Below are 12,971 nucleotides of genomic sequence, written 5' to 3' on the forward strand. Positions count from 1 at the left end.
CAGCCATTGTATAAGCATTGCCTTGTTGGGTGTTGGATAATTTTGAACCTTTAATAATATTCTTGAGCTCTATTCTGGGGCATACTTAAATTACTTAGAAGCAGTTTGATCCTTTTGGTATTCGTATATAAGATTTGTTAGGCAGAAACAGGACAGTGATCATTACAGAGATAATTATTTTTCTCTACGGAGACAAGACCTTTCTCAGCACTCTTCCAAATGACCCATGAATTTTTCCAATCTTGCTGATGGGAAGAGTTACTAATCCTGGCCCCGTGTGTATGAAAATAACAGTGCCAGGTTAGGCACTGGTTATTTTAACCCTTTTCAGGTATTCTTTGCCAGCCTTGGGTAGCTTCCTCAGACATGTGCTTATGATTACTCAACTGAGTACTTGAGGAGGGTCCTCTGCAGCTCTCGGGAGTTCCCTTTATTTGCAGATTCCCCCTTCCCAGGATTTTCTTCTGTGAACTCTAGCTGCTCTCCCTGGACTCTCAGCTCTATTTCCTTAACTCGGAGATAAGGTTCTGCCTCAGTTTCTTTTTTCTGCATCACAGCTTGGAAACTCAAGGCATTTAGCTGGGCAATTATAGGGCTCACCTTTTATGTTTCTCATCACTCAGGGGTGATTGATCTTTTTTACTGATATCTAACATCTTGAAACTATTCTACTATTTATTTTGACCATTCTTTATTGCTCCAGATGGATAGGTAGATGCAATCTCTGCTACTCTATCATGGACTAGTTACAAAACTTATGTAGAAGAATGGAAATGCTGGGAAAAAGTACTAAAAATGCCTCATTGAGGGCATCAGAGAGATACCATGGCAGGATGGACTTGCTAATAGCCAAGAGAAAGTCAATCTCTGAATTTTCTGTGGCTGAGAAGGAAACCTGATTTGAGACTTCTGTTTCTGGCCATGATTCTGAGAGCAGAATGTGAGAGACCACAAAATGATGAAAGATTTTGTCATTATTCACATAGATTTTTAAGTACTTAATTCAAGAAATAATAATTAATTGGGGTAAATATATAATAACGCAGTGTATCTAATAATGTTATCAGCCACTTAAGTGCTTAACAAAACATAGGGGTAACATATTTGTAAAAGTATTTGCACTTCTGTTGTCAAGACAAACTTTTGTTACTTGTAGGTATAAATAGAGCTATTAAAACATCAAATTATTATACTAATTCAGTTTCCTAGAGGAAAACCAAAACTTGTAAAATAAAAATATTTTTATAAAGTGTAGCCTTCATTTTTTCCTACTAATTAATTTATATTACATGAATATGTTGAGTGCCTACAATGTTGTTCTAGGCCCTTAGGTGGCAAAAATCACTGAAGCAAAATTAAACACAAATCTATAAGTTAATGCACAAACATATTCATATTAATATTAAAAATAAAACTTTAAAAAAATTAGATTTTTCTAATTTAAAACTTTAAATGAAAAAACAAAATAAGATTTCTCTAATTTTATTTTGGTTAGATTGATATAAATTAACATTCATCAGAGTAATCATTTGTGAACTCACACAAATGTGTACACATGCATATACACAAATAGACACAAAATGTTACTTTAAACAGAAGAACAAGGACACATAATTAGGAGTCAGGAAAGAATTTGGTTATTAGAGCTTTCAATGTCATGCAAGATACTGAAGTATATATCTATGAAGGCTTAGGAGTACTGAGTTTAGTTTTTTTTTTTTAATTAAAAAGTTTTAAGCTTTTATCTTAGAAATATTCTTCTTTAAAATTGGGTGAAAAGTAATACAAATAAATTTTAGGTGACTCTCAAGTGCTAGTCTATTGACATTGCTGAATGCCTTTCAAAGCTGAAGATTTTGCCCTTTGCAGACATCTTTTGCACCACTAGAGTAGGTGTTTCACTTTTTAACTAAAGTTAACCAATTGCTAGTCAGTTATGAATTTTTCTGTCCTTCAAAAGGTTCACATAGGGCATGTGCCTCAAAACCATAGGGAACTAAACACACTGAAGCTTTGAGGCCCCCAGTGATCCACATTTCAGTCAGGATACAGTCAGAATTTTCAATTATTTCTCTGAACAAATATTTGAGATTAATTGAGAGGCTAAGGATAGAATTTGTAAAAAAACTTTTACTTGTCTTCAGTTGACAAATCAGATTCAGAAAGTTCAATCAAATAACCAGGTCAAAGCTGCCCAACATTTTTTAGTAGTGTGGTAATAGTTTTTATATATTGTCATTCATATTTATGCCAAACATCTCTGCACAGAGCTTCCCTTGCAAGTATGATTTTAAAGTTGAAGAAAATGGTAAATTTTCTTTCAAAAGCATTTTGGGTAACAGATTTATGAGAACATTTTTCTTCTAAAAAGAAGGATACTCAGTTATGAAACTTTAATTTCAAATTATACACTCCACTCAAAGACTATAAGGTTCTTAATAGCCATGACTTTGTGAAAAATATTACTTTCGTGTTATACTCATATTCCATCCTTCCAGTCTGCTTTTAGACTTTAGAGAAATGAATATAGTGGCCTTAATAGGTTCAGGGATTTCCCTAGGTACATAAAGAAAAATAACAATCTCTTTTTTGATATATAGATACATGTATATATGACTATATAGCTTTATGACTATAAGCCTATGTGTATGTGTATGCATGTGAGTATATGTATAGAGAGATCTTGGTTCACTACATCAATTGTGAAGCCAGATAAAGTATAACAAGGAATTCATAATGTTCAGACATTCATTTAAACAAATTCTTTATTCCATAAACATTGCCTTAGCCTTCAAATATAAATAGGGAAAGATGAACTGTTCATATCATCTCTCCAGATGTTTTGTGTTTTGAGACTGCATATCACAGCTGGGCCAGGGATCTCTGAATCCTGGGAAACTTGGAACTCTGGAACTCAGCTTGATCAAAGAGAAGGTTCTTTAGCTCTCAGGTGGAAGCAGGTAGACTCCATTTTCTGCATTTGTACCCATAAAGCAAAATTCTTCATTAAGCAGTAGTTTCGGGGAGAAAAATTGATACAACTATTATATCCTGAATTGCATTTTTAAAATCTTAGTGAGTTTAGCTATCTGATATTATCTTTTTGTCTGTTGGACTAACTACTGATGAGAATGTCTGTGTGTGTGTGTGTATATATATATGTATATGTATATATCCACATGTGTGTATATATATAGATAAATATATGTGTGTATATATAGACATATATGCATTTATGTGTGTATATAGACATATATGCATTTATGTGTGTATATAGATAGATACACACACATATACACTGAAAATCTCTGGTCTCTAAGGCTTAATCTAGTCACAGTTATTAGTGGACCTCATTAAAATTAGTTCTTGAGGTTAAAAAAGTCCAAATACATTAATTACTCATTGAATTGGAGCATTTGTTAATATTCTGATTGAGGTTTTATCTTCATAAAAGAAGCTCAATTATTCTCTTGGGCAGGGGTTTATGATTTAAAGTTTTTGGAATAGTGACTAAGGTCCCAAGGAAACTCTGAGATAACCAAGGTTGATCATGAAATTGCCCTTTATAATAAAATGATATTTAATATCGGGTGTGTGGAGGGATAACTGGTGTTTTAAAAGACTCAGAAGCGCTGGGCATTTTGTGGAGGATGAGTAAAAGATGGAAGAAAAAACTTATTTGGCTGTTTGGTAAAGAAATGACTGTAAGCATTATTTTCTCAATGTGACAATACATCATAATCTCTGGGGTGCCTGATAAAAGTCCAGATTCTTCAGCCTCCTCCCATACCTATTAGATCAAAATCTCAAGACATGAAGCTTCCTGATCTGCATGTAATGGACGTCACAGGCAATATACACAAAAACTTGAGAACCACTGGAAGAGGGAAAACAGAGATGTCAGGTGCGATTTAGGGAAAATAGGGAGGTACACTGGTACAATGTGAATGTATCTTCAGTAAAGATAACTCTAATTTTGAAATGCTAGATGGGAAAGGATTTCTTGTGGAAATCAGCAAAATAATTGAGTTCTGCTGACTAATTTATGCAAGGCCCAAATAGCCCATGTGATTGAAAGGGAATTGTCATCTAAATTACGCTAAAAAAATTTGAGTTCATGTTTTGCTTAAGAAAAATTTTCTTAAGAAAAATTTTCTGTAATATGAATTTATTATTTTGTTAGGAAGAACAGTCAAGGGCAGATAATCTAATTTTTCTTTGCTGATTGAAGATCTTGCACTTTCTCTAGGCCATGATTGTGATGATCATCATTTTACATTTGTCAGTGATGATAACAGTAGGTGTAAATACAGTAGGAGATTGGGCTAAATATGTATTGATGTCTACAGTACTCACAGAGAGTAAATGGTCTCAGGAAGGTGCTAAAAGTGTTGAATGACTTGGAGTCTGTATTTCCACAACCACCGAGCATGTGAACAGGGCTGGAATGAGACTCTGTCAAGATAGCCAAGCCCCCATTTAGTCAAGTCATGGAACTAACCTGAAAAAAAGAAGATGCAAAAAAAAAAAGAAGATGATGAAAGCAAGGAGCGCCATGGCACATGGGCACTGAGCTCAGTTCTGCACTAATTTGAAATAGAAATAGATTATCTTTTGTCCTCAGTTTGTTGTTCCTAACAGAGAGTGTAGTTCCGTGCACTATGCCAAGCAGCAACTACCTAAAAATGACTCGAAACATGAACTTAACTGATGTACGTAGGTGCTAGTGTGTGTGTGTGTGTGTGTGTGTGTGTTCACTAAATTTCTGATGTAGACATCTTTTGCATGGGAACAGAGAATGCTCTGGTTAGTTGTCGGTCAGTTAATGGGGAACAAAGCATGCACTCTTTTCTTTTTTGCTCACATTTTGCTGGCTATTCTTTAGAATGTCTATTCTAGGATAAGAGAAATGGTCTTTCACTACAGTAAAAAGAAGAGGAATCAAGGCTGAATAAAGACAATAGCCAAAGGAGCTTTCACCACTGAATGAAATAACATCCACACAAGTTTGTGGATCAAATTGCTCATTTCTTTTTTACAAAATGAAGTGTATTTTGTATTCCTCATTATAAAAGACTATATTCTTCTTAAAGAAAAGCCTGAAAATATGGATGAGTAAAAAGAGATTACAATAATAATGAAAATAATAATAACTGCTACTATTAATAAACTTCTTAATAGGCTTTTTAAACCTATTATCTTGAAGACAACCACTGCAAACCTTGGCAAATATATTTTCAGAGACTGTACACACAAGCACATATATTCACACAGATGTTTTGTTTTTACTATTTACAAAAATGAGATGATACCTTAGTTTGGTAATAAATTACAGATATCCAATCATTTTTGACCTACAAAGACATAGTTCAATATAGTTCAATCTATACATACTTTTCCTCAGTCTGCTTGGTTTTTCTTTCAATATAGATCATGAATATCTTTCCATGGTAAATTATTACAATTATTTCATAGTTTCCCATTTTGTGGCCATATGGAAATTAATTAGCCAATCCCCTTTTACTGAACATTTAGATTTTCATTTTTTCCTATTGTTGATAGTGTTTCTATAAGTGCACTTATAGCTAAATCTATTCCACATACTCCCAATTCCCCTTGTTGAGGGGTACATTCTTGTAACTAACTAGAATTCCTGAGTAAAAAGACAGATACTGCAAATATATTTTTTAGCCTACTATTTTATTTACAAATATTCTGTGATGTTTACTTTCTGTGGCTGCATCTATACACAAAAACAGGTTTGGTTGGCCAGGCACAATGGCTCATGCCTGTAATCCCAGCACTTTGGGAGGCCGAGGTCGGTGGATCACTTGAGGTCAGGAGTTCAAGACCAACCTGACCAGCATAGTGAAATCCCATCTGTACTAAAAGTACAAAATTAGCTGGGTGTGCTGGTGCACACCTATAATCCCAGGTACTTGGGAGGCTGAGGCAGGAGAATCATTTGAATCCCAGAAGACAGAGGTTGCAGTGAGCCGAGATCGCACCGTTGCACTCCAGCCTAAACCCCCTCTCTACTAAAAAATATAAAATTAGCTGGGTGTGGTGGTGCACGCCTGTAATCCCAGGTACTTGGGAGGCTGAGGCAGGAGAATCATTTGAATCCTGGGAGACTGAAGTTGCAGTGAACCGAGATCGCATCATTGCACTCCAGCCTGGGCGACGAGAGCGAAACTCTGTCTAAAAAAAAAAAAAAAAAACTACCACCAACAAAAACCAAACAGGTTTTGTTATTCACTACTTGTACTAGCTACTAATATATTGAATGTAATAAAATATTTGGGAAGAAAAACGCTTTAAAAATAACTTTTTTTTCATCTGTTTGTGTGTGAAGGAGGGGGAGGTAGCAAAGCTACAGGCCCCAAATGTGTTGATATCATTATCTTCATTCTCTTGGTTCAAAAGTATTAACACTGTGATATTTAGATTATTACCACGGTCTACATTAACCAGATGAAATCTTCTCTCATGCCTCAGGTGAAAACAGGTATTGAGTGAGAAGGATTTAAATATAAACTCCTGGCATTTTCTCCACCTTGGGCCTGTAGAAACCTTGTCTGTAATTGCCTCTTCATTTTCCAGCACCTATGTTTTAGTTGCCATCACAGACATCAACTAAATCTTGAGAATCTTTCCTCACCTGACCTTGACTGATTAGTGAGAGAGCAAAGATAATAAAACTTGCAATATGAATTTGCGTCATAATCTGGAACTAGGCTTCATGTTGAAGGACAATGAAATTATAAAGCATTGTGACTGGTTCTGTTGAAAATAATAATTCAGCAACTGCAGCCATAGCTCACTCAATGGTTCAAGAAAGCTGGAGCAGCAATTATGTGACTGATTAAGATTTAAGGTAAATACCTGAGAGAGTAGTGTCTTCTTCCCAGAAGCTGGAGAGGTGAGATTGGATCTGCTGCTGCCCTCCTTGTAGTGAGCCGAACTGGCAATGTCAGGGGAGCTGGAGACTACGTGCCTAACTCTAGCCACTCTCCAACTTCTTCCTGACTTGCCTTGGCCTTTTTCCAGAGCAAATGAATTGACTCTTGGTTGCCCTAGGACCTCACTTCTGCCTCTTTCTGCTACTTTCTTTGTTTTTGTTCCCCATACACTGTGGGAGCTGCGAAGGTGGGATCACACTATGTTCACCCCTCTCTCTGTAGCCTAGGATCCAACATTCTGGAGACGCCCCCAACAACAGGATGAAGGAAGCAATGATAATTTTTTTTAAAGTCACAATATTTCATCAATTTCTATCAAAGATTGAGTCAATAGGTGTAGTTCATGTATTCCCAAATTAAGGAACAAATCTAGGCGTGTCAGAGACCCCAACAGAAAATAATAAACTTAATTTTATGAATTCAACCATTTCATATCAGTAGAAACTGTTTAAAATTAAAAGCAGCATTTAATTAGAAATAAGGCAGCAAGTTGCAACAAAAAGACATTATTCAAGGGCAGAGAATTGGGGAAAGGGATGGGATAGGATGAAATGGAATGGAAAAGATTGGAACAAAACAGTTCCCAGGAAACCAGGTCGATTTTTCCCCATCATTTATATTGGTCTTTCGCTCTGTGAGACAAATGAGCCATTTACTTCTAACTCATAGATTAGATTGTATCTTGGAGATGTTCAATTTTGATTTTAGTTTTCTTGATGATCAGTTCCTGAGTGAGATGCAGGGGAAATAATCAGAAAAATCCAATGTGCAGGCACCTGGCTCCACTGAGCCATGACCACTCTAAGATTCAGAGCTAGAGGTCAAAGGATGCAGGTGTCTCTTTCAAAACACACATATGCCCACAGGTTCCCCTCCAAAGGTCCCAACTAATAAAAAGCCCAAACTGGCCACTCCAAAGACTATATGGCTTTTAGACCATTTTCTCTGATACTCCAAACGATTTCCTGATTCCATGCCTTTGCACCAGATGCCCGCTCTGACTACAATGTCCCCTTGCCCTCCTACAGCTAGCTGTTTCTTATGATTCAACTCAAATATCATGTTCTCAGGGTGGACTTCCCAGGCATTCTATTTAATATTAAACTCCTACTCTCCAGAACCTTTCTCTCCATGGCAATGCTCTTGTTAGTTTGTCTGTGGTTCTCAGTAATAGAAACTATGTTATTTGTATATATGTACTACCTGTCATTCCCCACTGGAATATAAGCCCTAGGAAAACAGGGATTCTGTCCTAGTCATCATTGTATCAGTACTGATGCATGGTAGGCACCTAATACCTATTGGATGAATGGATGGATGGATGGATGGCTACGTATAGAACCTCAGGTCTAGTTTTTTGCTTATCTGTTTGTTTGCTTTGCCAAGAGTAGGACAACCCTTTGCATCAGTCTTTACTCTCAGTATCTTATCACTTAAGTGAATTTTGTTTAAACACAGTAAGACAGTGCATATGCTCTCCTTGGGAATTAATGAAACAGAAAATAGCAAAAGGGAGACACAGGTTCTGCCCTCAGACAAATTACTGGATGGGGGTAATAAGAAGGTGGCTGCCATCAGAGAAAAAGGCAAGTACCCTACCTGAGATGTAGGTAACACTAATTATATCTCAGGTACAAGAAGGAGGTAAAGTTGAAACGCCAAACCAGTGTTTGGATGGAAGCCCTACAAGAACTGCTGAATATCAGACCCCTAAAGCTATCCAACAGGAGGTCACAGTTCTATCTTGGTTTTACATGCTTGTAAAGGAATGTCTAGATAAAAGCAGCTTTCACACAAAAGCATGAAGAATCCGTGTCTCTGGAGTCTGAGTAATGTTTTGTTAAATTTTGAGTAGTTTAATGTCAAGACAGAGAAGCTCAATGAGATTAATAGCTGAAAATGGAGGGTGGGGGAGAACATCAAACTAGAGAATGAAGCTGAATCATGTTTAGCCAGGGGTAACAGGGGTGAGAGGATTTATGAGTGTTTCCAAATTGCTGAGATTGACGTTCCTCTTAAGTTTATCTTGTTTCTCAATATTACAATTATTAAAAAAGAAAAAAAAGCTACATGAGAGTTTTTTGACTATCACCCAAACAATTAAATATCTCAATTCCAGACTGGTTTATATTCTGAAACTTGTTCAGAGAAAACTCTAACATGAATAGATGTTACTCACCAAAGGCCTGATTAATGAAAGGAGAGCCGTGGCATTGACTGAGAGAGGACATTGTTCTGCAATTAGGGCACAAATGACCTTTCACTCTTCTGGCTGCAGATTATTTACTTTGGCCATATTTAGAATAACTTGATATATGACAAGATTTATGAAACTTGGACAAAACTTCCAAAGTATATACAAGTGCTGCTGACAATATGGGATCTTTCAGTACAGTCTGCATGGAAACAAAGCCACACATTTCCATAGAGCAACCAAAGAGCTGTGTTAAAATTTCCCTATAAGCACGATCTTTTCTCATGTTAGCCCCCATTTGCTTAAATCACTTTCCGTTAATGCTGGGTATTAGCCAAGATTACTGGATGGTATGAATGTCCCGACCACAACAGTGGCTCTGTGTACACATGCCTATGCACAGATATGCATATATATATACACTTATGAATATATACAGAATAAATGCAAAATAAAGTTGGCAAGTAGAAAATTTGGTTGCACCAAGTCTTAGTGTTGGAAGCTTATAAATAAAGTTTGGCTTTTTAAACTAAATTGAATTGCCTTTCAAACTAAAGTCAGAGAGTTGATTTTTGTCTTTGAAGACAGAACCATTTTGTACAATATACCCTTTAGTGCTTAAGTTTTGGTACTTCTTCCAACCTATTTTGTGTGTGTGTATCTGAGAGTAAGCCTTCCCTTCTATTTATTTATTTATTTATTTATTTATTATTTATTTATTTATTTTTTGAGACGGAGTCTTGCTCTGTCACCCAGGCTGCAGTGCAGTGGCCCAGTCTTGCCTCACTGCAAGCTCCGTCTCCTGGGTTCACGCCATTCTCCTGCCTCAGCCTCCTGAGTAGCTGGGACTACAGGCACCCACCACCAGGCCCGGCTAACTTTTTGTATTTTTAGTAGAGACGGGGTTTCACCGTGTTAGCCAGGATGGTCTCGATCTCCTGACCTCGTGATCCGCCCGCCTTGGCCTCCCAAAGTGCTGGGATTACAGGCGTGAGCCACCGTGCCTGGTCTATTTATAATTTTTTTTAAATTTTACTTAAAGTTCCGGGATACATGTGCTGAACATGCAGGTTTGTTACATAGGTATACATGTGTCATGGTAGTTTCCTGCACCTATCAACCTGCCATTTAGGTTTTAAGCCCCGCATGCACTAGGTTTTTGTCCTAATGTTCTCCCTCCCCTTTCCCCCCACCCCCCAACAGGCCCCGGTGTGTGATGTTTCCCTCCCTGGGTCCATGTGTTCTCATTGTTCAACTCCTACTTATGAGTGAGAACATGTGGTGTTTGGTTTTCTGTTCCTGTGTTAGTTTGCTGAGAATGATGGTTTCCAGCTTCATCCATGTCCCTGCAAAGGGCATGAACTCATTCTTTTTTTATGGCTGCATAGTATTCCATGGTGTATATGTGCCACATTTTCTTTAGCCAGTCATCATTGGTGGGCATCTGGGTTGGTTCCAAGACTTTGCTATTGTAAATAGTGCTGCAAAAAGCATTCGTGTGCATGTGTCTTTGTAGTAGAATGATTTATCATCCTTTGGGTATATACCCAGTAATGGGATTGCTGGGTCAAATGGTATTTCTGGTTCTACATCCTTGAGTAATTGGCACACTGTCTTCCACAATGGTTGAACTAATTTATACTGCCACCAACAGTGTAAAAGCATTCCTATTTCTCCACATCCTCTCCAGCATCTGTTGTTTCCTGACTTTTAATGATCGCTATTCTCACTGGTGTGAGATGTTATCTCATTGTGGTTTTGATTTGCATTTCTCTAGTGACTAGTGATGATGAGCTTTTTTTTCATATGTTTGTTGGCTGCATAAATGTCTTCTTTTGGGAAGTGTCTGTTCATATACTTTACCCACTTTTTGATGGGGTTGTTTTTTTCTTGTAAATTTGTTTAAGTTCCTTGTAGATTCTGGATATTAGCCCTTTGTCAGATGGATAGATTGCAGCAATTTTCTCCTATTCTCCAGGTCTTCCAACCTATTTTTATATAAATTTAAGTTCTTGAATTTGTTGTTTTTGTTTTCGGTATTGACCTAATTTTCAATTTATGTTGACATGCAGTCTCTATATCTATGTATGTACATATTAGTTGCTTAGAAAACAGAAACCATGTCTATTCCAGATTATATATTTTCATAGTTTTTAGCATGATCACATTTCAGGAGCACACACAATGTTAAATATAGTTATGCCACTTTCATTTTAACTGCTTCTATATTTTACTTAAAACAAATTAATAGATCTATTGTTTATTACTATCATCATGTAGTGTGAACATGCCATTCTTATTTTATGTAAATATCTTGTTGAGATATTTTTCTCATTCATGGTAATCAATACTCAATGAAAAAGAAGTTAGATTTAATCAAATCATGCATCATTTCAAATAAAATAATTACCTATTTATGAGTAATGTTATGTCAGTTTTAAAAATATCAACTTTCTAAAACCAAAATTACAACACTTAATTGAAATTTCCTAGGCTAAGTAAAAATTTCGGAAGTCACACAAATGACTCTCCAATTTCTACTTATTCCATAATGTTTTTCCACACTGAATGGAGAAGTTGTTTGTAATTACAAACATTCCCTAGTGGTGGGAGAGCAATTTCATGTGATGTGTAGGGATGAGGTCTCTAGAGCCAGGCTGCTTGAATGTGAATTCTGATTGGTCGCTTAATATTTGTAAGACCTCAAGCAATTCATTTAACAAATGCCTTAGTTTCCTTATCTGTGAAATGGGCATGAAATAAATCAGTATGTGTGGAATGTGAAGAATGGAGCATGCCACATAAAAAACCTTCATAACTGATACCTATTACTCTTATTAAAAGGTCTTTTCACTGCCACTAATACCAGTGCATTTGCTTCATTTCCTCTGGTAAGTTTTATCTTTGAAGAAAAAAAAAAAAAAGCAAAACAAAACAACTTCTCCACTTCCCCATGAGTCTGCACCTCAAGAATGTTATTTTTAGACAAACCTACTACACCTTTAAGAAGAAAAAATGGTAGACCAGTTAGATATTACATCAGGATCTAGTCTTAGTAATTGCATTAATGTATCTACCCTTTAATTCTAACATCAATAGTAAGATCAAAAATTGCCATTAATATACACCAACTCGACAAAATTAGAAATTAGATCCTCTTTCCAAAGTCTAAGCAAGTTTCTGTCAAACAAGGGAAGCTATGTTAAAATAAGATCATTGTTATGACTCCTAGAAAGAAAATAAAACATCCCAAAAAATCAACAAACACAACAAATAAAAATCATCATACATATATATGTGTGTATATATATATTCATATATGTGTATTTATGTATAAACACACATGGGTATTAGGAGAATCTATGACACTTGTAACATAAGTCTTTAGGATAGGATTAAAATATTATTCTTGTTGACATTTTGGGTATTTCTACACATGGTAAGAAAAGATTCAAGAATTTGGTTTGAAAAATGCCCAGGTGTTAATGTGCTAGTTCAGTCAAGCATGCCCTGGAGACCTAACCTTCCCCCCACCACCCCAGGGATGCAATGCTGTTCTGGTTTAGTGGGTACCACCATTAATGTGATCTTTACAGAGGTGGCCTGAATGAGTTATCACTACAATGCTCTTGGAATGAAAAGCACCACATCAGTACTTATTGTGCTTTGCATTTTTTATGATTCAAATCTTTTACAAGAGATGAGCAGCTCCTAAAGATATTAGAAGAGTGGTTTATAAATAGGAAGTGGCCATAGTTGCAATTCATTGGTTTCTGAAGAGCTCTAATTGCTACATGAATATTTTTATCTCGGAA

At 36.3% G+C, this 12,971-nt stretch overlaps 2 long non-coding RNA genes across 2 annotated transcripts in view; one reads left to right on the top strand and one right to left on the bottom strand.

Annotated features, from left to right (window-relative positions):
- The window catches only part of LINC01828 (long intergenic non-protein coding RNA 1828), a 202,799-nt gene that overhangs the window by 35,444 nt on the left and 154,384 nt on the right, over positions 1–12,971 (top strand). The gene's annotated exons all lie outside the window — the stretch shown is intronic.
- LINC01829 (long intergenic non-protein coding RNA 1829) overlaps positions 1,468–12,971 on the bottom strand; it is a 91,963-nt gene continuing 80,459 nt past the window's right edge. Inside the window, exons 7-8 of the long non-coding RNA NR_038844.1 lie at positions 4,357–4,501; positions 1,468–2,974 (exon numbers count right to left, since the gene is read on the bottom strand). This is a non-coding gene — a long non-coding RNA (long intergenic non-protein coding RNA 1829). The remainder of the gene's footprint in view (positions 2,975–4,356; positions 4,502–12,971) is intronic.

This window comes from Homo sapiens, chromosome 2 (assembly GCF_000001405.40).
Source record: "Homo sapiens chromosome 2, GRCh38.p14 Primary Assembly".
Lineage (NCBI taxonomy): Eukaryota > Metazoa > Chordata > Mammalia > Primates > Hominidae > Homo > Homo sapiens.